At 39.1% G+C, this 27,894-nt stretch overlaps 1 long non-coding RNA gene across 1 annotated transcript in view; it reads left to right on the forward strand.

Annotated features, from left to right (window-relative positions):
* Positions 1-27,894, forward strand: part of LINC01317 (long intergenic non-protein coding RNA 1317) — a 590,861-nt gene that overhangs the window by 229,240 nt on the left and 333,727 nt on the right. The window contains exon 4 of the long non-coding RNA NR_126403.1: positions 8,303-8,428. This is a non-coding gene — a long non-coding RNA (long intergenic non-protein coding RNA 1317). The remainder of the gene's footprint in view (positions 1-8,302; positions 8,429-27,894) is intronic.

The raw sequence follows: 27,894 nt of genomic DNA on the forward strand, positions 1-27,894 counted from the left end.
TATAATCAGTCTGTTTATAAAAAGATGTCCATCTGCAAGTTAGAAAGAGAGCCCTCCCCAGAGACTGAGTTGGCCAGCACATTTTTCTTGGACTTTCCAGACTCCAGAATTGTGAGAAATAAATGTCTGTTATCTTAGTTACCCAGTGTATGGTATCTATAATAGCAGCCTTAAGTGACTAAGACGTACCTCTTTGTGTACAACGTAAAACTCTTTGATATGGTGTACCTGTGTCTCCACCCAAATCTCTTCTGGAACTGTAGTTCCCATAATCCCACTGTGTTGTGAGAGCGACCCAGTGGGAGGTAATTGAATCATGGGTGGTTACATCCATGCTGTTCTTGTGATAGTGAGTGAGTTCTCATGAGACCTGATAGTTTTATAAGTGGTATCCCTCTATCCCCGGCCTTTGCTCTGCATTTCTCCTTGCTGCCACCATGTGAAGAAGGACATGTTTGCTTCCCCTTCTGCCATGATTGTGAGTTTCCTGAGGCCTCACCAGCCATGCTGAACTGTGAGTCAATTAAGCCTCTTTCCTTTATGAATTACACAGTCTCGGGTATGTCTTTATTAGCAGCATGAGAACAGACTAATACACCCTTACACTGCAGTGATTCCATTTACTTCTTTCCTATAATTGCTCCTGTAGTTGTCACATATTTACTTCTACGTATGTTTAAAACCCACAATTCACTGCCATTATTTTTGCTTTAAACAGACTTTCAAACAAATTTTAAAAATGAGAAAAGATTTTTAAAATATTTTCTCATATATTCACCATTTTCAGTGCTCTTTATTCTACCCACTTTTTTTTTTTTTAATACCAGTTAATAAGTATTTTAGGCTTTGCGGGCAATACAATCTGTGTCATAATGACTCATCTACGCTCATGTGAGTAAAATAAGCCATAGATAATTTATAAACAATTGAGCATGGCTGAGTTCCAATCAAACTTTATTTGTAAATACCAAACTTTAAATTTCATATATTTTTACTAAACTTTGAAATTTACATAATTTTCAAAATATTATTCTTTTGATTTTTCTAATTATTTCAATATGTTAAAACTATCTTACCTTATGGACCACATAAAAGATGGCTGGATTTGGCTTATAGTTTATAATTTGCTAACTTCTGCTATAGATCCATGTTTATTTGTGGTACTATTAAGCCTCAACTTAAAGGCTTAATAGTAATATTCTGCAATATTCTTTAGTAATCTGTAATATTCTTTAGTGCGGATTTACTAATGACACTTTTTTGGTTGTTATTTGTCTGAAAATCAACTTATTTCTCCCTCAATTTTGAACAATATTTTCATGGGCTATAGGATTCTAGGTTGACAGGTTTTTGTTTTTCAGCACTTAAAAGATGTTGTTCTGTTGTTTCCTGGTTAGTCATATCTCTATGCTCTGTTTCCTCTGCCACAAAGTGAAGTCTTTGGTTTCCACAGCTGCATCTTGGAAAGGTAGAATACTTTTTGCAAATGCAAAAATCACCTCCTATGTTTCTCTTCTCTTATGAGCAGCCTACATTGCCTATTTTCTAGTATCTAAAAACAGTTACTTTACATAGTTTGTTTAGTTATCTATTTATTTTTACCATGAGAATACATCCTATACCTGTGATTTTTGTCATGGACAGATCCAGAAATCTTTTGTATATGTTTAAAATAGAAGTGGTGATTAGCTTACATTGTATTCATACAAAATCATATTTGAATCCCAAGAAATGTTTAATATTTAAATTTCACTTTGTCTTTTCAAAACCTTTAAAAATATAAGTCCTAGACCATTGGATTATGAGGCTGTAGCAAAGGGTTACCTTAGGCCATGAAACTTGAGTGTTATAACATCAACCAATCAACATTTATTGAGCATCACCTATGTACCAGATGCTGGTGGATCTCAGAATTGTTGCTCTTGCAAGTTCAATATTATATAATAAATCTTGATATTCTAATACCACTTTTTGAAGAAAAGTTGAATAATGTCACAAAAACAAACAAGATTCCATAATTCTAAAGCATTGGGAGCTGGGCTCTCTGCAAAAAATGAATTAAATAATTACTGAGAATTACTGAGAAAAAAATAATTACTGAGAATTAAATAATTACTGAGAATTTTAGTCCTAACTCTGTTGGAATGATACTACGAAGTTCACATAATCCTTTTAAGCCTTACTTTCCTTTTCCATAGCATGAAGCTGTTATGCTCAATGATCTTTAAAGTTCCCTTTCATATCTAAAATTTGTGATTTTCTGTATGTCCTTGTGTGACTTGTACTTTCTTCTGCCTTATTCAATTAGGACATAAATAGAAAAGCATAATATTTTTGAGATTCTGCATTCTGAAGGCGGTCTTGATTATTTAAAATAGGAAATGTTAGAGTGCATTTAAGTTGCAAAAAAAGATTTTCTAAACATAATAGCTAGTTACTTACATATATGCTTTTATGTGTCTTCTGAGTCATATCTACTCTCAATAGTTGCTGACAAAACAAGATTTTACTGCTGAAAGAGCAGCAGATCTAATATTGCTGCAAAAGAGCAGGCTGAATTTTATTTTGCCTTGGGTCATCGATAAAATTCTAGTCATTCTCTGATCCTACACTCTTTATTGTTCCCCATGACACATCATAGGTAAAAGAAAGCTTTGCTTTTGCAGGAATTGCAAAACTTTAAATGAAGAACTGGAAAACACCTAAAATGTCCCATGTAAGTCTTAGAGAGCTTGGAAAACATTCTCCTGGACTTAGGGGCACATGCAAATGGGTGTGTCTTTGTTGGGTAATGCTGACAGCTGTAACATATAGACCTACATATAAAATGGCTTGCAGTAATAGGAATTTGTTTCTTGTGCTTGTAGCTCTCTCTGGCAGGTGAGCATGTCACCAGCGAGGTTTCCTTCTTGTGGTCATTCAGGAATGCCCATCGATGGAGGCTCTGCCATTATTCAGGGCCTTCAGCAGATCAGGACTGTGCCAATATAACACCTTGTTTCCATGGCTGCTGCAGATATATCCATCCCACTGAATTAGAAGGGGAAAAGAGCATGGATAAATTTTTGAGATATTTTTATGGGCCTGTCTTTAACCCTGTTGACTTCATCTATCTGAAAGCAAAATGGAGACATCTTAGAACCAGGAAAAAAGCCAAGTCTGTATGACTCCAGAACTCATGTTCTTAGCTACTTTTTTTACCTTTTTTTGTGTGATCTTGAAGTATTTGTTCAACTCTGGAACTCTACAAAATAATCTCTTATTATAACTCAATCTTGAAATGAACTTGCACTGATGGAGAGCAATAAAATTTTATTTGTATGTTTCCTATAATTTTCCTGATTTTTCCACAGAGACCCCATTTCTGTCTTTCCACTCAGCTCTAGAAACTGGATGTGAGAGCAGAGTTCCTCATTTTGCTGACTTGGAGATCTATGCTTGCCCTGGGAAATGAAAGGAACATGGATGGGCACGCAATCCAATATCAGCAGCTGCTTCTTTCTTGGGGCCGCAAGTTTCATATATGTCAAGGAAGATGGGTTTTAAAACTCTCTAAGTTAATCCATAGCCCTTTTATATGAAAGGGGTCTTTCACCTCTTTTTCTTCTGGATCAAAGAGGCTGAAAAGATTTCTTTATTTGCAATAGTATTTACTAGCCAATAACCTTAAGTTTTATGTAAAAATTCACTTCGCACAGGTGTCTGCTTTAAGGTAAAAAAAATCTCAATAATTGTTAGTGTTCAATTTTTAAGTCCCCAGAAGTATTTCTGTATTCTTCAATGCATGCAACTCAATTTCCAGATGTGCCCCTTGAGGCTCTTCTGCTTTTTGTTATTTTTCTGGGCAGCCATCTCATAAGTCTCATCAACAGAACACATAATTTCAACTGTCCAGAGACTATACTACATTTATATGGTATTGCTAAGATGAAAGACACTTTCCATCTGTCAAAAAATTGAGGCAGACTTGCCAAATGTCTTGCTTCTTTTAAAAACATATTCATCTGATATTGTTTGGATATTTGTCCTCTCAAAATATCATGTTGAAATTTGATTCCCAATGTTGGAAGTTGGGGGTCTAATGGAAGGAGTTTGGGTTATGGGGGTGGATCCGTCATGAATGTCTTGGTGCCATCCTTGTGGTAATGAGTAAGTTCTTGCTATATTAGTTCCCTAGAAAAATGATTGTTAAAAAGGGTCTAGAACTACCCACCCCCTGCTTCTGCTGTCTCATCGTGTGACTTCTGAACATGCCAGCTCCCCTTTGCCTTCCACCAGGAATGGCAGCAGTCTGAAATCCTTCCCGGAAGCAGCTGCCGGTACTGTGCTTCTTGCACAGCCTGCAGAACTGTAAAGCAAATAAACTCCTTTTCTTTATAAATTACCCAGCCTCAGATATAGATATAGATATAGATATATATATATATATATATACACACACATATATATATATATATATACACACACACACACATATATATATATATATATACACATATATATATATATGTATATATTTTGAGATGAAGTCGCACTCTGTCATCCAGGCTGCAGTGCAATGGTGCAATCTCAGCTCACTGCCACCTCTGCCTCCTGGGTTCAAGCAATCCTCCTGCCTCAGCCTCCTGAGTAGCTGGGATTACAGGTGCCCACCACCACGCCCAGCTACTTTTTTGTATTTTTAGTAGAGATGGGGCTTCATCATGTTCGCCAGGCTAGTCTTGAACTCCTGACCTCAAGTGATCCGCCTGCCGCGGCCTCCCAAACTGCTGGGATTACAGGTGTGAGCCACCGCACCCTGCCTAGATATTTCTTCATAGCAACACGAATGGACTAAGACAGAAAATTGGTCCTGAGGAGTAGAGTGCGGCTATAATCCCAGCACTTTGGGAGGCCAAGGCAACTGAATTGCTTGAGCCCAGGAGTTCAAGACCAGCCTGGGCAACATGGTGAAACCCTGTCTCCACCAGAAAAACAAAAATTAGCTGGGCGTGGTGGTGCATGTGCCTGTAGTCCCATCTGCTCAGGAGGCTGAGGTGGGAGGATTGCTTGAGCCTAGGTCCGAAGGTCAAGGCTGTAGTAAGCCATGATTGCACCACTGCACTCCAGCCTGGGCAACAGAGTGAGACTCTGCTTCAAAACAAACAAACAAACAAAACAACAACAACAACAACAAAAACTCATTAGTTTTGTTTGTGATTAATCATATTTATTCATTTGTATATGTTGAATCAACCTTGTATTCCAGGGATAAAGCCTACTTGATTGTGATGGATAAGCTTTTTTTTTTTTTTTTTTTTTTTTTGAGATGGAGTCTCACTCTGTCACCAGGCTGGAGTGTAGTGGCATGATCTCAGCTCACTGCAACCCCTGCCTCCCAGGTTGAAGCAATTTTCCTGTCTCAGCCTCCTAACTGGGACTACAGGTGCATGCCACCACACTCAGCTAATTTTTGTATTTTTAGTACAGACGGGGTTTCACCATGTTGGCCAGAATGGTCTCAATCTCTTTACCTTGTGATAAGCCTGCCTCAGCCTCCCAGAGTGTTAGGATTACAGGTGTGATCCACTGCACCTGGCCTAGATAAGCTTTTTGATGTGCTGCTGGATTTCCTTAAGACGGAAATACCGTTTGACCCAGCAATCCCATTATTGGGTATATATTCAAAGGAATAGAAATTGTTCCATTATGAAGACACACGCACTCATATATTCATTGCAGCACTATTCACACTAGCAAAGACATGGAATCAACCTAAGTGCCCATTTATGATAGACTGGATAAAGAAAATGTGGTACATATACCCCATGGAATACTATGCAGCCATAAAAAAGAACTAGATCCTGTTCTTTGGAGGGACATGGATGGAGCGGGAAGCAAACTAATGCAGGAACAGAAAACCAAATACCACATGTTCTCACTTATAACTGAGAGCTAAATGATGAGAACACATGGACACATAGAGGGGAACAGTAGACACTGGGGCCTGTCAGAGGGTGGAGGGTGGGAGAGAACAGAGAGGATCAGGAAAAATAACTAATGGGTACTAGGCTTAATACCTGGGTGATGAAATAATCTGTACAACAAATTCCCATGACACAAGTTTACCTCTGTAACAAATCTGCATATGTACCCCTGAACTTAAAATAAAAGTTAAAAAAAACACATCCTTTCTCCTGATTCTGCACACATATGCATACAAGTGCACACGTGTAAACACCCTATGCACACACACTTTGTAATTGAGCAAATATTTCTCTATAAGGCTTATCATTTATGATACCCACAGAGTTTCAGTAAAAGTTAATGCCTATGATAATAATCTCATGGAGATGAGCTCCATTTTACATCATTAGCATAGGAATATCAACAGAAAAATCCTGTCTTTGTACAGGTGTACTTGTTATCCAGCAGTGTGCTATGCCACAATTTATTCCTTCTGAGGACAATATATAAGGCTCAGGGAGTTGTATACAGCCACTAAATTTTACTTAGATGAATCCAAGGGGCCCTGCTACTTAACATCTTTGTAAACCAGTGTGAGTTCCTAATGACTCTGAGCTTTAATTGCTACTTTACAAAATTGGGAGAATAGGATTAAATAACATCTAGGTGCTTTTGCAGACTCTGAAATCTCTGATTTTAGGATCTGTAAAATCAGATCAGATTAGACCAACCATAGAGTTGGTCTGATTGTAAACTCATGTCAATGCCCTTGAAATTAGGTAACAGATTACGTCCAAAACAACCCACTGCAAGAATAAATTAACAGAACTAGAAATAATTTCTAGCAATCTGAGTGAATTTTTAAAACTGCAATAAGAAGATGACTGTGATTGTATGAGATCTGAAAAAGTTTGTAGTCTTTCAAGGAAAAAATATATAAAAAGTGAAATGTCATGCTTATTAGTGTATGATTAATACAAATAAGGTAGTGCTTAGAGCACCTCTGTCCAATAGAATATCTGCAATGGAAATAAGGAAATGTTGTATAACTGCACCATCCAGTATGGCAGCAGTAGCCAGTATGTGGTCATTAAGAACTTGCAATGTGACTAGTGGGACAAAAGAACTGAGAGTTTTTAATGTTATTTGTTTACTAAAATAGCCACATGTGGGTGGTGGCTACCTTTCTAGAGAGCACAGTTGTGGAGAATGTGGTATGTTCATTGAATTATAAGCTTCTTTAGGGCAGGAAATCTGTCTTATTTATCTTCGTATGCACTTAGGAAAATCAACAGAGGACATATAGTAGTAGCTCAAGAAATAATTGTTGTGACAATAAAGAACATTCCTTGAAAAAAATGATCCGTGCTCAAGTATATTTGGAAAACACTACCTCCTGTATCACTTTTTTGGAGATTCATAATGCATATTAACATATATGCTTTGAGATATCATCTAACAAATAGAACTACTTTAAGTCTACATCTTTCAAGCTTATTTCATTACAAACTCCTTTGTGTATGTGTGTGTGTTTGTATAAAAGAGAGGAAGAGAGAAAAGAAGGAAGTGGGGAGACAGATAGGGAGACACAGGGAGAGAAAACATCCCATAGAATACAAGTCTGTAGAACACAGTATGGAAAACAGCTTATTTATTGGGAGACTGGTTTGGTTGGTAGATGACATGACCACCTATTAGATGTATGAGCTCATTCCTGTCAGGAGCCTGCATTCTGCTCTCAAATTTAATACAGATGAAAAATATTGATGGAATGAAGGGCTTTGGAGCAGAAACCAGAGGGTAAGCATCCAGGTAACTTGGATGTATGATACTTAAAGACTGAGAACCCTCTGTGGAATTGAGAAAGGAGGCTTGTAATCTGGGACTCCACATGAGGACTCTTCATGAGGTGAGTGATTCTCCATTGAGAAATACTCACTGTTTCTGGATATTGAATGCAATGTTTGTCGATATTTTTAAAAGTCTTTTAGGGATCATTTATTTAGAAGTCCTCTGTGTTTCTTTTTGGAAGGACATCAACTTTGAATCTGAATTTGCTGTTTAAGGTACTAGGACATCCCCCATAAAGACTTTTGAAATTTACATTAAAACAAAATTTAAAAAAGCTTCAAGCCTTTACCCCTAGGTTATCCATGATTGAAATTTTGGTTGGAGCTGAATAACGTTTAACGAGAAATTAGAAATGGTTAACGTCTAATTCAAGGAGCAAGAAGAAAAAGATCAACGCTTCTCATTTATCTAGCTTTGTGTCTTCTTGCAAGTCAATGCATAGAAGTATGAGTGAGAAGTGGAGCTGTTGGAAACTACCTAGTATAACCCATTTTTTTTTTCCCAGAGAGTGAAAATACTCAGTTACCTCCTGGTTTATGAGGCAATGAAGTATTCCAGCACATAAATATTGACGCTGAGACCCATGGGATGTAGGAGTGCTGAGCACATTTGCAAGACATAAAGACCGAAGGTAAATGAAGTTACATCTCTTCCTATAAAATGCAATCTGTCCCTCAATGGATTTTACCATCCTGTTGTTTTTATTTCCTCCGTCTTTATAATTGGAGACATTCTGCCGGCCTGTTGAAAACACCACTAGTATTTCTTTCTGAAAGTTAGCCAACCTACTAATTCTCCTTAAAATTCTGATTAGGTGTTTGCAGCTAAAATGAACACATCAGAGAAATGACAGAATTTTTGAGCGAAAAACTGAGAACAAGAAAATGACTAAATAAAGGCATTTAAAAAATAATCTGTAGGAAGAGTATTCTGAAATGAAATACATTTTTTTAAAATGGAAAATATTGTGTTGCTTTTTACTTGCCTTGGAGCAGGAATAATCATAATTTTGCATATTGAATACAGCTGCTCTAACATTTACTTAGTTTTTATTCAGATGGATTGGGGCGGGGGAGAGATATCATATTAAATATTCTGTTATAATTTTCTTTTCTTTTCTTTTTTGAGATGGAGTCTCGCTCTGTCGCCCAGGCTGGAGTGTAGTGGCACAATCTTGGCTCACTGCAAGCCCTGCCTCCCGGGTTCACGCCATTCTCCTGCCTCAGCCTTCCGAGTAGCCAGGAGTACAGGCGCTTGCCACTACGCCTGGCTAATTTTTTGTATTTTTTAGTAGAGACGGTGTTTCACCGTGTTAGTCAGGATGGACTCGATCTCCTGACCTCGTGATCTGCCCACCTCGGCCTCCCAAAGTGCTGCAATTACAGGCGTGAGCCACCACGCCTAGCTTATAATTTTCTTTAGAAAGTTGCATAAAACAAGTTCTGGACACAGTGCATTGAATCTCTAGGATTCCTGGGGTAAACATGCATTTCCTGATTAGACCCTGCTTTTCAACACAAGAATTCCCTGGTGAGCTATGAAGCTTTAGAAATCTTATTTTACAGCTGGGTGCGGTGGCTCATGCCTGTAATCCCAGCACTTTGGGAGTCCAAGGTGGGCAGATCACGAGGTCAGGAGATCGAGACCATCCTGGCTAACATAGTGAAACCCCGTCTCCACTAAAAAATAAAAAAAAAAATTAGATGGGTGTGGTGGTGGGCACCTGTAGTCCCAGCTACTCGGGAGGCTGAGGCAGGAGAATAGCATGAACCCAGGCAGTGGAGGTTGCAGTGAGCAGAGATTGTGCCACTGCACTCCAGCCTGGGCAACAGAGTAAGACTCTGTCTAAAAAAAAAATAAGAAAGAAATTTTATTTTACTTGCATGTATCTCTAATTCCCCAGCCAGATCATAATATCTTTAAGAAAAAAAATCATAATTAATATATTCAATTAAGAAACAATTATCTTTGTCCTGATCCATCCCAGGTGTTGTTCTAGGCATTGAATCCAGCAATGAACATTACAGTTGTAGTCTTTGCTCTGAGAGCTTACATTCTACTATTAGGGAAGAGACAGATAGTGAGCAAATGAAGGGCTGAGTATGTTTTAGATACTCATGAGTGCTAAAAATAAATGAAGAAGGTGATATGATAAGAACGAAGGTAGTCTAGGAAGGGGCTTCTGGGAATAGAACTTTAGAGCTGAGACCCAGGATTAGGAAAGATTCTGAGTCAGAGGAAGACAGATTGAAGTAAGAGAAATAATAAGCACAAAGGCCTTAGAGTGGGAGAGTGTGTGCTTTTGAGAACAGAAAGATGACCAGTCCAATGTGGCTGGAGTAGATAATCCACTCGGAGAGTTGATCCAGATCACTTAGGACCCCACAGACCAGGTAAACACTGCCATGACCTCACCGACCTTGTTCTACTTGGCGAAACCACAACTCTGACTTAAATTCCAACTCTGTTTACTCAACCATACCAGCTGACCTCAAATCAAATTCATGACATGGATCCTAAACTGGCTTTTAATGCTGCCTGGCAGTCATGGCAGTCATGCTACATTTCTTTAGTCCAATTATTCTCTCATTCCTTTAGATGAGGGTTTCACTTCTATCACCCAGGCTGGAGTGCAGTAACATGATCTCAGCTCACTGCAACCTCCGCCTCCTGGGCTCAAGCTGTTCTCTTGCTTCAGCCCCCCTATTGGCTGGAATTACAGGTGTGTGCCACCATGCCCAGCTAATTTTTGTATTTTTAGTAGCGACAATGTTTCGCCATGTTGTCCAGGCTGGTCTCAAACTCCTGGCCTCAAGTGATCCACCTGCCTCGGCCTCCCAAAGTGCTGGGATTACAGGCATGAGCCACCATGCCTGGCCCCTTTAGATACTATTTCATACCTTTCCTTCTCTTCTCAAACCTAGCACATCTTCATTCTGAGATTAAGACCTTGCTCTTACTGTACTGGGAAAATTGAACTGAAGCAATCAGAAGAGAACATCTCACACTCCATAACTACATCTACTCATCTACCAGCATCTACATGGACATATACTAATTTCTGCATTGTTACTGTGAATGTAGTGTCCACACTCTTATAGAAAACCACTCCTGGCTGGGTGCGGTGGCTCACGCCTGTAATCCCAGTAATCCCAACACTTTGGGAGGCCAAGGCGGGTGGATCACGAGGTCAGGAGATCGAGACCATCCTGGCTAACGTGGTGAAACCCCGTCTCTACTAAAAAATACAAAAAAAAATTAGCCGGGCATGATGGCGAGTGGCTGTAGTCCCAGCTATTTGGGAGGGTGAGGCAGGAGAATGGTGTGAACCCGGGAGGTGGAGCTTGCAGTGAGCCAAATTCACGCCACTGCACTCCAGCCTGGGCAACAGAGCAAGACTCTGTCTCAAAAAAAAAAAAAAAAAAAAAGAAGAAGAAAACCACTCTTTCCATATGTACACTAGATGTCAGCTTCTCTCACCTTCTCATGGACTCGCCTATAATTCTTTTTCTTTCTTAATTTATAATTATTTCCTCTTTACCAGATCATTTCCAATAGTATATAAAAATGCAGATATTTTTCTCACTTAAAAAAAGCAGGCTGAGCATGGTGGCTTACGCCTGTAATCCCAGCACCGTGGGAGGCCAAGGTGGGCAGATCACCTGAGGCCAGGAGTTCAAGACCAGCCTGGTCAATATGGTGAAACCCTGTCTCTACAAAAATACAAAAATCAGCTGGGCATGATGGCAGGTGCCTGTAATCCCAGCTACTTGGGAGGCTGAGGCAGGAGAATCGCTTGAACCCAGGAGGTGGAGGTTGCAGTGAGCCAAGATCGCGCCATTGCACTCCAGCCTGGGAGACAGAACAAGATTCTGTCTCAAAAAAAAAAAAAAAAAAAAAAAAGAAAAAGAAAGAAAAAGCAACAACACTTCCTTCACCCTATTTCTTTGGCTTACCTTTTCAACAAAATTCTAAAAGACTCATCTATCTGCCTTTGTTGACTCAATTCCTTTATTTGTAATCTAAAAACCTATACCAGTCAAGCTTTTGTGCTCACCACTCTACCGAACTACTCTTATGAAAGTTGCTAATGACCTACGCTGCTAAATCCAATGGCTATTTGTCAGCCTTCATGTTAATCCACAACATCTGGCAGTAGATTACTCCCTTATCTTTATTCCACTTTCTTTTCTTGGCTTATAGTGTACAAGAATCTTGTTTTTTTCTCTCACCTTATTGATAACTCTTTTTAGTTTTGTTTGCTGAGCCATCCTTTTCTGATTTTTGTTTGTTTGTTTTCCTGAGGGATTACTTACATACAGCAGAGTGTATATATCTTTCTTTTCTGTTTTTTTTGAGACAGAGTCTCACTCTGTCGCCCAGGCTGGAGTGCAGTGGTGCAATCTCGGCTCACTGCAAGCTCCGCCTCCCGGGTTCATGCCATTCTCCTGCCTCACCCTCCCAAATAGCTGGGACTACAGGCACCCGTCACCACGCCGGGCTAATTTTTTTGTATTTTTAGTAGAGACGGGGTTTCACCGTGTTAGCCAGGATGGTCTCGATCTCCTGACCTCGTGATCCACCCGTCTCAGCCTTCCAAAGTGCTGGGATTACAGGCGTGAGCCACCGCGCCTGGCCATAGCAGAGTGTATATAGCTTAAGTATGAAGATGCTACTTATGTAATCACCACCTACATTAAGATGTAGAACATTTACAACATTCCGGGTGTCTCTCTCATGTTCCTTCCTAGACAGTACAAAGTTTACCTGCTATTCTTACCACTGTCATTATGGCCTAATTTTGCCTGTTCTTGAACACAATACTAAGAGAACAATATAGTATGTGTTCTTCTTTGTCTGATTTCCTTCACTCAACATTATGTCTGTGAGATTTATACTTGTTGTTTCATGCATCAATAGTTCTTCCTTGTTCATTGCTGGGTAGTATTCCATTGTTTGAATATATTGTGATTCACATATCCATTCTACCTACTGTTGATAGATATTTGTGGATTTTTCTTTTCAATTTTTGGATAATGCAAATAAAAATGCTATAAACATTCTTATAGAAGTCTTTTGTTGAATACAGCATTTATTAATGTTGGGTTTTTTTTACCTAGGAGTGGAATAGTGGGGTCATAAATTAAATGTATATTCAGGTTTTATAGGTGCTGTCTAACATTTTTCCAAAGTGGCTGTACTAATGTGTTCTCCTATCAACAATTTAAGAGAGTTCCAATTGTTCCATATGCTCACAAATGTTTGATATTTCTATTCATTTAAATTATAGATATTTTGATTTTTAATTCCCAAGTACTCCTAGGCTCCTGTCCTATTCTCTATCTAAACTTACTGTTGTGATGATCTCATCTGCCTCATGACTTAAAAACTGTGCATGAACATGTAGTTAACTCACAGATTAACATTAAAATCAGTCTGAACTCCAGATGACTGTCTACATGACATCTCTGCTTGGATGTTAAATAAATGTCAAACTTAACATACTCAAAACTCCTAATATTCCTTCCCACATGTGTTCCATCTTCAGCCTTCCCCATTTCAGTTGATTGCCACTCCATTCATCCACTTGCTTGAGCCAAAAGCTTTGGGAGTATTCTCAATGTTTGTCTTTGGTACTGTGCAAACAATTGCTTAGGAAATATGTTGGATTTACCTTCAAAATATATCCAGATTGTGTGTATTTCTCAATACCTGCACCTGCTACCACCCCAAACACATCAGCCAGAGTTATCCTCTTTATTCACAAGTCAGATCATATCATTCCTGTTCTCAACATTTTCCTCAAAGTAAAAGCCAAAGTTTTTACAGTGAGGTGGGTGTGGTGGCTAGTGCCTATAGTCCCAGCTTCTCAGGAGGCTCAGGCAGGAGGATCACTGGAGCCCACGAGTTAGAAGCCGTAGTAAGCTATGATTGAGCATCACTGCACTTCAACCTGGGTGACAGAGCAAGACCCCATCTCCAAGTACCACCACCACCAACAAAAAACAAAGTTGTTATGATGATTTGCCAGGTCCTACATCATCTATCTCTCATTCTCCTTCCCGATTACCTTTCTGCTCTCATGTCCTATGTTGTTCATGCTCACTCTCATGCTAATAAGTGACCTTATTGTTTCTTGAACATGCCAAGTATATTCCTCATTAGAGGATTTGCCCTGCTTGGAATGCTTTTTCTGCATAGCTAACTCCCTCAGTTCCTTCAAATATCAACTTCCCAGTGAGGTTTACTCTAACCATCTTATTTAAAATTTTAACCCCCTCACACACCCACCCAGATTCCCAATCTCTCTCATTTTGCTTTTTTTTTTTTTTTTTTGCTCATAGAATTTATCGCCTTCTTATATAAATTATATTATAGGCTGGGCACGGTGGCTCACACCTGTAATCCCAGCACTTTGGGAGGCCGAGGTGAGTAGACCACGAGGTCAGTAGATGGAGACCATCCTGGCTAACACAGTGAAAACCCGTCTGTATTAAAAATACAAAAAATTAGCCAGGCATGGTGGTGAGCACCTGTAGTCCCAGCTACTGGGAGGCTGAGGCAGGAGAATGGTGTGAACCCGGGAGGCAGAGCAAGACATATATATATATATATATATATATATAAAATAAAATATATATATTTATCTTGATTACTGAGTGTTTTGTTATCCCTTTATTCTTGGTCCTGGAATCATATTATTTGTTTTATGGGTGAAGAACCTGAATTTTGGAGAGGGTGGATCACTAGCACAGGCTTACATCATTAATAAGATTAGAAACCCAGAGAATGGCTTAGTTCCAAAGGTTTTGTTCTTAGCCACTATGCTATATTACCTAGATTCTTGTTAACTTTTGTGTCTTGTTTAAGTTTCAACCTGACATTCAATCCAGAGCTCCTTTTATCTATACACTTAAGGAGCGCTTGTTAAATTTGCCTGAATTTTTATTCCAGATAACACTTCGTTATTCTCCTGGAGATATTGTTCAGCATATGAGAGATTTGCACCCATCATTCACACAACAACACGTTTCTGATTAGTCAGAAATATATGTCCATGATAACCATTATTTTGAACTATAATGGGATCACTCATTCTTATCTAACAGCTTTCTGATACCCACAGTCTACAGGTAATAGTCTTTTAAGATTATTTTTGAACTTTCCTGGTAAATCAATATTTGTCCCATCCTGACTTCCATTTTTCCAAAAGGAGTGAACAAGCTTTGGATAGCTGTTTCTAATCTGGCCATGTTCTACGTGGTTTTCATTTTCTTATCACATTTCCCACCCACATCCAAATTCATAAGACATACTCCTTTTGCTTGGCTGAGGCTAGAAGGCCAGTGTATTAGTCTGTTTTCATGCTACTGATGAAGACATACCTGAGACTGGGTAATTTATAAAGAAAAAGAGATTTAATGGACTCACAGTTCCACATGGCTGGGGAGGCCTCACAGTCATGGCAGAGGACGAAAAGCACATCTTACATGGTGGCAGGCAAGAGAAAATGAGAGCCGAGAGAAAATGAGAGCCAAATGAAAAGGGAAACCCTTTATAAAACCATCAGACTTATTCACAAGCACGAGAACAGTATGGGGGAAGCCACCTCCATAATTCAATTATCTCCCACCAGGTCCCTCCCACAACACATGGTAATTATGGGAGCTACAGTTCAACATGAGATTTGGGTGGGGACACAGCCAAACTATATCAGCCAGGCTCCTTCAGTGGCATTGAAGTAGCTTGGCATTTGCGTCCAAGTGGATCCAGTGGCTTCATTGTGGCTGGTTAGTGCTAAGACCAAGCGTGACTAGCTGATGCATTACACTGTGACTTTAGACAATGTAGTGCTTATTTTAGTTTTAAAATCTTAATAATATCAATTGTCACAAAAATTTAGTCACCAAACTTAGGACAGTCACAAATTTTGGTCACACTATTCTCAGACAGCAAATGATATATCTTTCTTTTTTTGAAACAGAGTCTCGCTCTATCACCAGGCTGGAGTGCAGTGGTGTGATCTCGGCTCGCTGCAACCTCCACCTCCTGGGTTCAAGCAATTATCCTGCCTCAGCCTCCCAGGTAGCTGGGACTACAGGCGTGTAACACCATGCCCAGCTAATTTTTTGTGTTTTTTATAGAGATGGGGTTTCACCATGTTGGCCAGGATGGTCTCTATCTCTTGACCTCGTGATCCGCCCACCTCAGCCTCCCAAAGTTCTGGGCTTACAGGCGTGAGCCACTGTGCCCGGCCATCATTTTATTTTATATATAACTTACCTGATTCTTCACAAGTCCATATGTGTAAGTCAGAAATTAAAAGAGAACTGATAATTTAATTTGGTAGTATGGTATATTTTTAATTTACTTCAGAAGTAGGTTGATTATATTCTGTAATTCATGGTACATTTAAATGATTAGTTAGTATAGATCCTTATTTATTTTGTTATTATTATTTCTCCTTCTCACTCTCCAACGTATAGGCACTCTCTCCTGAATTTAAAGTATATACTCCCAGTCCAACTTCCACAATTTGTAATCTCTTAAAAATGTAGAGTAATGTTGGCAAAAGGCTCCTGGCCTCACTGTTCTATTGAGTTTATTTAATATCATTTCCACCAAGGGTCAAGGCCCAGGGAGAGAGGTCAAGGCACAGCTGCCTCCCTCCCTATCTCTTCCACCAGTCTCTCTTTTCTTCTTCCCACAGGCCATTGGTTCAGGAAAAGGTAGCTTTTCTCCCTTCTTCCTCCTGTCTTCAATAGACTTCTCTACAGGAAACCTCTGTGCTGCAGTTTGCCAATTCTACCTATTGATGTGTTTAAGAATGAGCAGCACTCAGCGGGGGCAGGGTGTGGAGGGTGGTGTTGGATTATTATTATTATTATTATTTTCTGTATTTATTTATTTTTGAAATGGAGTCTCGCTCTGTCACCCAGGCTGGAGTGCACTGGCGTGATCTCGGCTCACTGCAACCTCTGCCTCCCAGGTTCAACCGATTCTCCTGCCTCAGCTTCCTGAGTAGCTGGGACTACAGGTGCACGCCACCATGCCCAGCTAATTTTTGTATTTTTAGTAGAGACGGGGTTTCACCATGTTGGCCAGGATGGTCTTGGATCTCTTGACCTCGTGATCTGCCTGCCTCGGCCTCCCAAAGTGGGAGTTGGATTATTTTATTAAGACATTTTCCCTCCCTTCATAAGCCCTCTTTTTCATGAGATTATTTGTGGTAAAGTATATGTGACATAAAGTTTAGTATTTCAAATGTTTTCTCATGTACACTTTGGTGGTATTAAGTGCATTCACATTGTTGTGCAACCATTACCACTGTCCATCTTGAGAACCATTTCATCATCCCAAACTGAAATTGTGTATTGAAGAAAACACTAGCTCTCTATGGCCTTTTCCCCCAGCCCCTGATAACCACCATTCTACTTTCTAATTCTATGAATTTGACTATTCCAGGTACCTTGTACAAGTGGAATCATTACAATATTTATGCTTCTGTGTCTGGCTTAATAGCCACATTTTTTCACAATAGCTGAAAGATATTCATCAACAGATGAATGGAGAAACAAAAATGTGGAATACGCACACAATGGAATATTATTCAAAGGGAATTAATTCTGATACATGCTGCGCATGAATGAAACTAGAACACAAAGCCTCTACTTTCAAGACCATTGTCTCACCAAAGGGGTCAAGAAAACCAACTCTGAGACTCAAAGGAGATCAGTGGCCTCATTGTTTACTCTTTCTTTCACTGGGACAAATAAAACTTAATGACTTAAATTCAGAGAGTGAAGAAAATCAATATGGTGCATTTTAATATTTATAAAATATTATTTTTATTGCCTCAATTTAATTCATTAGATAAGCAGAGTTTTAAAATGGATGCTAACGAAACCTCTTACAGAGTGCATTAAAAAGTGTGTGTGTTGGCCAGGCATGGTGGCTCATGCTTGTAATACCAGCACTTTGGGAGGCTGAGGCAGGAGGATTGCTGAAGTCCAGGAGTTTAAGACCAGCCTGAGCAACAAAGTGAGACCCCATCTCTACTTTAAAAATAAAGTGTGTGTGCCAAGAAAAATATTTTCCTTGTTTAATCATCTGACCACTATTTGAAGATTTTTGCATCTGGTTTATTAGATCCATACTCCTGGTGGACATTTCACCATTTAGTCCTATGGTCACACCCTCGATCTGGCCATTACCAGTGGTGGCACCACCAGGCTCTGAGGGCATGTCATATTTTTGCCACTTACTCCTTCTGATCCCCTGCTCCCTCACTCCATAACTCTTTGATCCTGTCCACTTTTTAAAATCACATATCATCCACTTCCTGGTCCCATTTATCTCCCCACCCCAGGTTAGGGTCAATGACTTGTCATTATAGTTATGCCTTTTATACATCTTTAATTCCTTTGCTCATCTCTATTCTATAGTCCTGTAAGATTTCATACTCTATGAAAACAAACTGTGTACCAACTCTAGGCCCAAAGTAGAGCAGCTGGACCTGGCTGGAGAAAAACATACAACTGTTTGGATTGCTCTTATTTTAAATTCACATTTGCACATCTTAAGAGATTGGAAGCAACCTAAGTGCCTATCAACAGATATCCATTGATAAAGAAAATCTGGTACTTATATACATGATAAAGCACTATTCAGCCATGAAGAATGAGATTCAGTCATTTGCAACAACATGGGTGGAACTGGAGGTCATTACGTTAAGTGAAATAAGCCAGGCACAGAACAACAAACATGGTATATCCTCACTTATTTGTGGGATCTAAAAATCAAAACAATTGAACCCATGTACATAGAGAGAAGAAGGACGGTTATCAGAGAGATGGGAAAGGTAGTGGAAGGGAGCTGAGGATGGTTAATGGGTATAAAAAGTGGTTTGAATGAATGAATAAGGCCTAATATTTGATAGCACAACAGAATGACTATAGTCAATAATTTAACTGTATATTTAAAGATAAAAGATTATAATTGGATAGTTTGTAACACAAAGGATAAATGCTTGAGGGGACGAATATCCACTTTTCCATGATGGAATTATTACAAAAATAAAAAAAAATAATAATAAAGGGAGCCCTCAGCAGTGCCTGGCAACCCTTCCTCATGAAAGTGCATCCACTCTCCTGCTCTTCAAGTTATTGTTTCGTACCTTCTCGCTCCTCAAATTCCAATCCTCGTCTTCTGCTTATGTCAGCTGATGCTGTCAAGGCTTTCCTCTGATGATACAATCAGAGGAAACAGAAAAGGACCTGCTCATGCTCTCGCCTTCTTCCCTTTGTCCGCTCCTGCCTTCCCTGCGGTTGTGGTGCCAGGACTTTTGTCAGTACTTATCTCAAGCAAGTCCATCTCTCTCACCTGCTGAAGGACGTTCCTTCTCCAATCCCATCTATAGCATCATTTGTCTTTCTACTCTGCCCACTAGATTACTCCATTCAGGATATAAACATAATATTCATTTTTTTCTATTAAAGTTCTTGGACCTTGTGCCCCTTTTTAGCTCCTGCTTTAATATCTGCTTCTTTTCTGGCAAAACTCCCCAAAATAATGATCTTGTTTGCTGTCTCCCTTTCCTCATATCTATTTCCCCTTTAGCCTACTCTGATTAAGCTCTTAGCTTACCACTTTACTCAAACTGGACTAAAATGACCACCACCTTGACAAATCTAATGGTTAACCTTAATCTTCATATCTGATTTGACATGATCAGTCCCTTTTTCTTCTAGTACATTTTTTTTTCTGATTGGCATGTAGGACATTAGCCTCTGATTTTTCTCTTTCCTTGCCTTCTCTTTCCTCCCTGGAAATATTGAGCTGCCTTGGGATTCAGTCCTTGGCCTCTTTATCTACACTCTCACCCAGTACCTCAGCTTTTATTACAGATTTATGTCCTCTCTGCCACATATATCTGACCACAGCTTGATATTTCTACTTGTAATTCTAATGTGAATCTAGGAATTTACACAACTAAAACACATATCTGGATTTTCCTCATCCCCAAATATCCAAACTTGCTTCTCCCCAACCCATCCCCATTTCAGTAAGGGCATCCTCATTCACCCAAGGGCTCAGGCTACAAATCAAGGTGCTGGCAGTGCCTCTGTGTTTCTTCACTTCTCATCTAATACCTCAATACATCTCATCAGTTCTACCTTGGCAACATATCCTAGATCAGGTCCTCCTTTATAGAATTCCAGTGCAAGCCATCATTACCCCTCAACTGGAAAACCGCAGTCACCTCCTGCTTCCATTGCTGCTCCCTGTTGCTTATTCTCTACACAACAACCATATCAATTATTTTAAGGTCACACATTTAGTTGTTGGAGGCATTCTTTCAGAAACCTCCAACCTCTTGCTGTTGTCTGGACCAGTTCCTCCCTAAGCCTGTTGTACAAGTGTCACCTTAAGACTTCCTTATACCATGATCCTTTGAATTCTTTTGATTCCTACATTTAATCCCACATTTTGGGATTCCATGTCTTTTCCTTATTTCTGTCCTCTATTTTTGCCAAAGCAATTCTTTAGTCACTAGCTGAGAAAAACAGCATGGGAGAGAAATCATGAGACCTTGCATGCCTGATTATGTCTATATTCTACCTTCTCATATAATTGATATTTGGTTTTATATAAATTCTAGGTTTCTCCCCTAATGTAGAAGGCATTCCTCTGTTGTCTTCTAGCTTCCAGTATTTTTTTATTGATAAATTTGATCATTCTAACCCCAGATTCTTTGAATGTATCTAGCTTTTTTCTCTTTGAAAACCTTTAGGATCTTTTCATAATTGTACTTCAGACTTCCACTATAATGTGCCTTATATGACGCTTCTTACATTCACAGTGCAGAGCACTCAGTGGAGTCTTTCAATTCGGAAAATTGCAACTTTATGCTCTAGAAAATTTTTTGAATGTTTTCTTCCTTAATTATATTTTTCTCCCATTTCTTTGTCCTTTTTTTTTTTTTTTTTTCTGAAAAGCCTTCTTAATGTGATATTCGACTTTCTGGGTTGAATTCCTAGATTCTGTATTCTTTCTCGCCTATTTTCTCTTTCTCTTTATATTTTCTGTAAGATTTCCTCAATATTATCTTTCCATACTTCTATTGATATATTTGTTATCTTACTTTTAATATCCAAGGGCTCTTTCTCTTTCTCCAGTTGTTTTCTTAGGATAGCAATTATCCTTGTCCTATTTCATGAATACAATAACTTTTCTTGTCATTTTGAGAATATTAATATTAATATTCTTTACATCATTTGTATTTTTTTATGTTTTCTTGCCAGAGCGGGACTTCTCATATTTGAGACTAATATACTAATGAAGCTTATTGGAAGCTCTGTGTTCATGGATGAAGTTTGTAGCTGGCACGGTGGCTCACGCCTGTAATCCCAACACTTTGGGAGGCTGAGGCGGGTGGATCACGAGGTCAGGAGATCGAGACCATCCTGGCTAACACAGTGAAACCCCGTCTCTACTAAAAATACAAAAAATTAGCCGGGTGCAGTGGCGGGCACCTGTAGTCCCAGCTACTCGGGAGGCTGAGGCGGGAGAATGGCGTGAACCTGGGAGATGGAGTTTGCAGTCAGCCAATATAGCGCCACTGCACTCCAGCCTGGGCGATAGAGCGAGACTCCATCTCAAAAAAAAAAAAGAAGGTTTGTAGTTAATGGATTTAACAGGTGAAAATTAAGTTTCATTCATCCTTCTCTCTTTTGGTGTACTCCTTTTCAATTGAGGATTCTGTCCTCTACAGCTCAATTCTTTTATTTTATTTTTGAGATGGAGTCTCGCACTGTCACCCGGGCTGGAGTGCAGTGGTGCAATCTCGGCTCACTGCAACCTCCGCCTCCTGGCTTTAAGGAGCCTGTAATCCCAGCTACTTGGGAGGCTGAGGCAGGAGAATCCCAGCTTCCCAGATTCTCCTGCCTCAGCCTCCCAAGTACCTGGGATTACAGGCGCCCGCCACCATGCCCAGCTAATTTTTAGTAGAGACGGGGTTTCACTATGTTGCCAAGCTGCTCTCAAACTCAGGACCTCGTGATCTGCCTGTCTCAGCCTCCCAAAGTGCTGGGATTACAGGTGTGAGCCACTGTGCCCGGCCTCAATTCTTTTATTCACATAGGACTCATATGTAAAAGGCTAGGAGTTGCAGTCTTTGTTGAGATCTTGTCTCCTACCATGTGGACATTATTTTCCTATATGCTAATGGAAGACACACACACACACACACACACACACACACACACACACACACACACACTCACTTCTCTGGAGAACCCTGAACCCTGACTAATCCAAAATCTGATGAGTGGAATGGGCAGGATTCAAATTAAGATTTGTTTGACTCCAAAGCCTCTCCTCTGTCCTTAGTCCTCCTACTGTAAGTAGTGAATCTTTATCAACAATATCCCAAAGAAGTTGACGTTTTCCAATAAGTATGTGTTATTGAGTACCCTAAAAGTGGGTCAGTTATGTAGTTCTACATTGAATGTTTCTATGCTTTAATTAGCTTAAACAATTAATTTTCTTTGTGTTTTTCTACATTCAGTGTTGAGAGAGAGAGAGAGAGTGTGTGTGTGTGTGTGTGTGTGTGTGAGAGAGAGAGAGAAACAAAGAGAAGATTCAAACTCAATAAATGGCATCTTGGGGCAAGTTCACTAGACACAAACCTTGAGAGGATTCGTGTGCAGGCAATCTATTAAGGAAGTGTTCGCAAGAGTAACCAGTAAGGGAATGAGGAAAGTATGACAAAGGAGAAGCAGTGCTGCAAATGTGTGATTTCAGATGAAGCCCCAGCCTGCTGGAGCAGGAAGCTCTGAGGTGTAAATTGTACTTTACAGTCTGTTCCAACTGGAGGCAAAGGAGCTAGGTTTTAATCAGTCATTGGCTAAGGGCCACTCCAGAGGGATGTAAATTTCCAGGCACTTCCAGTTGTGTGTGAGCTGTCAAAACGGCTCTCGTAACCACAGAGCAATTCTTCGAGAGTCTGTGATACAAACCATTAGAAGAAAAAGACCACACACCTGGGAGAGGGCAATAGAAGGATTTGAGATGATTTGGGCAGAGCACAAGTAAATGATGAAAGGATCATGGGAATTATGGTCATAAAGCTAAAAAGCCCAAAGAATAGAGCTGTGAAATTCTTACTACAGGAATAAGAAAACGTTTATTACCATTGCAGATGGCTTGATTTTTAAGCATATGTTAGTTTACAAATGCTGTTTATCTGTCTGAGAACTTGAGAGTGCTACTATAAAAGACATATAAAATATGTGTGTTAAAATAGAAATAAAATTCAAACCATATAGCTATTTGGAAACACAAATTTAACAAAAGCCTAGGCTCCTATAGTTACTTTTTGTTGTCGTTGTTGTTTGTTTGAAACAACGTCTTACTCCTCCCAAAGTTCTGGGATTACAGGCATGAGCCACCGCACCCGGTCATTATTGAATTTTTTAAAAATAAATTTAGACTTGAGTTTTCTGAGAGTCATTGCAAAAAAGGTGGGTGAAGAAGTAGAGGAGGAAGAAAAAAGAAGAGGAAGAAGCCACGGCTAAGTTTTCAGAGGAGATACATTTTTATAAATCCCAGTTTATTACTACTAGTTTTCCCATGGAGATTTATACTAGGAAAGGTGAACAATCAAATAGACAATATTATTTAATAGTCATCTATTGATAGAAACAGAAATGTTCATTACATGACCAGTCCTCATTTTGATCCTCCAATCATTAAAAGATAATCCATGAACACGTATTTCTTTGGAGGGGGTTAAAGTAATGCAGCTGAGAAACACAGCTTTCTGCTTTCAGCATTAATGAGGACAAGGGAGCTAAGTCTCATCCCTTCTTTCTGAGACGGTTTAATTCAGTCACAAAAAACATATTGAAAATGGCACCAAGGTCATCGATTGATCCAGACTGCCTGAGTGTTTGTGCTATCTGCTTTGTGTTACTGAACATAAGCACATTCTTCCCAGTCCTTTTCAAACTAGTTCTCTAAAACAAACACTTTAAACATCTTAATTTGTGAATACAAAACATTAACAGGCAGCCTGCTTATGACTGGTTGACATATAAAGAAGTATAGGCAAAAAAACTTCTAGGCAAGCCTGCCTGCTGCTACCAGTTTTGTTAAGAGCCTACGTTATCTTTTAAGTAGGGAAGGAATATACAGCTCTCCTTAAGACACTGTTTTCATGTGGCATTTTACAACTGCATTATTACATCTCATTTCAGTGACACTGCAAATGGTGATAACCTGCAATTGGCAGGAGCGATGAAAAAAAAGGAAAAACAAGAGCGATTAAGGATTTTCTTCCCTCCGAATCCCTTCTCAAAATCCATCCCCATGTTTTGACCTGCTTATCAAATTAGGAAATCCAAGAAGATATCTCATTCAGCACAAACTTACATCATCTGGTTCTGAAGCCCACTCATCAGTGGCTATCTGTCTGTCTCTGTATTATACACAGTATAAGATATATAGTATATATATATGTGTGTGTGTGCATGTGTGGGGATATATATGGCCTAGCCTGCAGACTTTGAACTTGAACTTGCCATGTATGGGAAGACCCAGAGAAGAGTTGCAGTTTGAGTCCATAGGCAATTTGCTGGCAGAATTGCCTATTTTAAATATATAACCTACCCTGCAGATTTTAATCATGCTTAAGTTAGCTTCCTAGCAAATTTTAGATAGCTCTTATTCCACATATGGATTCAGTCATTTCTAAACAACAACAAAACTTGTAGCGCTTTTATAATTTATTACACATATAAAGTCTTAAAAATATCAGTTTGATTAGCTATGTGTGGGCTGTGAGATCCTTCGCAGATCACTAGTCAATATCCTGTAGTCTGAAATAGGTACATCAAGTAACCAGCAACTTACACGAACGTGATCTCAGCCAGGCCAACTTATGTCCGGACATGCCACTAGTTATAAAATAACTCTAAAAATGAGTGCTTAGGTCGATTTAGCTGTTTCAAACAATAGAACATTTATTGCTTTAAATCAGGTTGAAGAAAAGGTACTAAAATTTTTTTAAAATGTTGCCAAAGGAATCTGAAATGTCCAAGTTTTCTCATTTATTTACAAGTGGAGTGATTGTTGAAAAGGAGAATGGGAATTAGTTATAAAACTAAAAAGTCCAGGCCGGGCGTGGTGGCTCGCGCCTGTAATCCCAGCACTTTGGGAGGCCGAGGCGGGCGGATCACGATGTCAGGAGATGGAGACCATCCCGGTTAACACGGTGAAACCTCGTCTCTACTAAAAATACAGAAAATTAGCGGGGCATGGTGGCTGGGGCCTGTAGTCCCAGCTACTCTGGAGGCTGAGGCAGGAGAATGTCGTGAACCTGGGAGGAGCTTGCAGTGAGCCGAGATCGCCCCACTGCACTCCAGCCTGGGCGACAGAGTGAGACTCTGTCTCAAAACAAAACAAAACGGAAAAACTAAGAAGTCCAGTGAGTGAAGCCGTGAAATGATCACTACAGGGGAAAAAAAGCTTTGTTAGAAACACTTCTGAGGACAGTTTAGCTATGGAGGTGGAGTAAAATAATGGTCAATCAGGCTCTGGACATAGTTAGTAGGAAAGATATTGATACCCCACCCCCCTCCTAAGGGAAAGAGATGATTCTACAGGGAAGTTATACTTCTGGAAAAAAATAATGGGAAGACATCATTTAAGATAGAGACTGGAGAAGGAGACCACGATCAAATTTCTGTCCCATCATTTCATTTAGTTCATGGGTTATAGCAACACCCTTTGACTGTGTGGTTGCTGTGAAATTTTAGAAAAGGCTTATGGTAATGTGTCCAGTCGGAAAGAATGGTCATTCATTTCTTCTTATACATTTTGTAAAAATTAACAGATCAAATTGTATTTATGTGATTCAGTTCTTATAGTTAAAGAATAGCAAAGAGACAGCCTCTGCATATTTGTGTGGATTAAGCACCAGTTGTAGTTTGACTAAGCCAGCCAAGGATTGCACTCCTGCGTGATGCGATCATTCTATTGGGAGATGTTTTCTTGAATCTTTGCTAATTGCACTAAAAATTAATATAATAACCACAGTTCCCTTTGGAACACGTTTATCCTAAGTTTTCTTTAAGGAGAAGGAAGAGAAAGATCATACCCAGAGTAGGAAAGAATAAAAATAATAATGAGTGATGGTTCAGTACACCTCATTTTTGAACTAATTATGACACCGAAAGTATCAAAGTATGTTTTGGAAATCACGCGTTAGAATGTCAACATGGACAACTAGGGGTAAATAGTTTAAAGTTGTCCTAGTTGAGAACAGATTCAGTTAAAGAAAGGGAAAGGTCTCTGGATCTCATTATTTCTGTAAGAAGGAACAGCATTTACTTCTTTTTTTTTTTTTTTGAGCTGGAGTTTCCCTCTTGTCACCCAGGCTGGAGTTCAGTGGTGCGATCTCAGCTCACTGCAACCTCTGCCTCCCAGGTTCAAGTGATTCTCCTGTCTCAGCCTCCCAAGTAGCTGGGATTACAGGTGCCTGCCACCATAACCAGCTAATTTTTTTTTTTTTTTTTTGTATTTTTAGTAGAGATGGGGTTTCACCATTTTGGCTAGGCTGGTCTCGAACTCCTGGCCTCAGGTGATCCACTCACCTCGGCCCCCCAAAGTGCTGGGATTACAGGCGTAAGCCACCATACCTGGCTGAGCATTTACTTCTAATATACAATATGAGATTAGCCATCATGCATATAATTGTGGGTATCATATGAAATTAACTTTCTTTAATTATGTGTATTTCAGTTCTCATTAAGAATAAGAATTCTATGCTTCTCCATGCAAATGTATTTATAATTTCATATCAGTTAATGTAAAAAGTGATCCCCTAGTTGGATTTCAGAATATTGGGTATTATTACTAGGGAAGTTGACCTGAGTTTGAATGAATATAAAGAAACTGCTTTTAAATTAAACATGTGAAAACTTTCAGTTTTTTGCTTTCCTTTTGGAAATGCTTATAGTGTGGAATGCAAACATTCACCTAGTTAGAGAGAAAGCATCCCTAATCCCCATAAATTCTGTTTCGAAGCACATCAGCTTATATTGTACATCCTTTCCAGAGTAAAACTATTAATATTGTACCACCGTGAACTCATGTGTGTGCTGAAATGGAGTTTCTGTAAGAGCTAGTAGTTTTGTAGTTGTACTGTAAAAAATATTGATTATGCCTTACAAAGAATCAGCAATAAAACAAACATATTCTGATTGAGATAAAAAGAGATTGAAATCCTTAATTTGACACTAGATTTGTGAGCACAAAGCAAATGGAAGTTGGGCCATATTTGGCATTTCTTCAATAAATAATGATCAATGTTTAATATCCTTGTGATGAAACTAATTCATCTTCTGGTTATTGACCTGTTCAGATTTTCTGTTCATATAGTATCTTCCAGGGTGAGACACTTCTTCACTTTAAACTGGCGCTTAAAAAAAATCAGGTGAAGGTTTCTCTGTGGACAGAGGCAGATCAGTGATTAAATTTTCTCAAGTCAGTAGAGAAATTACAAAAAATAAAGTCAATGTTGTAAGTTTTTCATAAGGGTAAACTCATTCCATTAAAAATGTCTTTATGATTGCCTTCTATTTACTTACCTGGTTTTAAATTTGTCTTTTATGAAATGATGGTAACAGAAGGCAGTACTTACATTTTTGCCTTTTTAAATATTCTCACTTGACAAAAGAAAAGTTGATACCATATATTGTAAAAAAAAAATCACTAATTAAAAAAAAAATCACCCAGTTAAAAAAAATCACTAATTGGTATATTCTAGGACTTGTAAATGCTAAGCATCTACAGCTGTACTGGCCATGAAACTACTGAAATAAAGTTATTATTAAATAACTATGCCTTAATTGCCTGCCTTCACACCCACTCTGGCCACCCAATCCCCTTTCTTGGGACCCTAGACCTCCTCAAAATTAAGTATCTACAGGGTTAGTCCCTGTCATAGCTGGGGTCACCAGGATACTTTCTGACTGCTCATACTTTACCAGCTGTTAAATATATATATATATATATATATATATATATATTTTT

The sequence above is a fragment of the Homo sapiens genome, chromosome 2 (genome assembly GCF_000001405.40).
Source record: "Homo sapiens chromosome 2, GRCh38.p14 Primary Assembly".
NCBI lineage: Eukaryota > Metazoa > Chordata > Mammalia > Primates > Hominidae > Homo > Homo sapiens.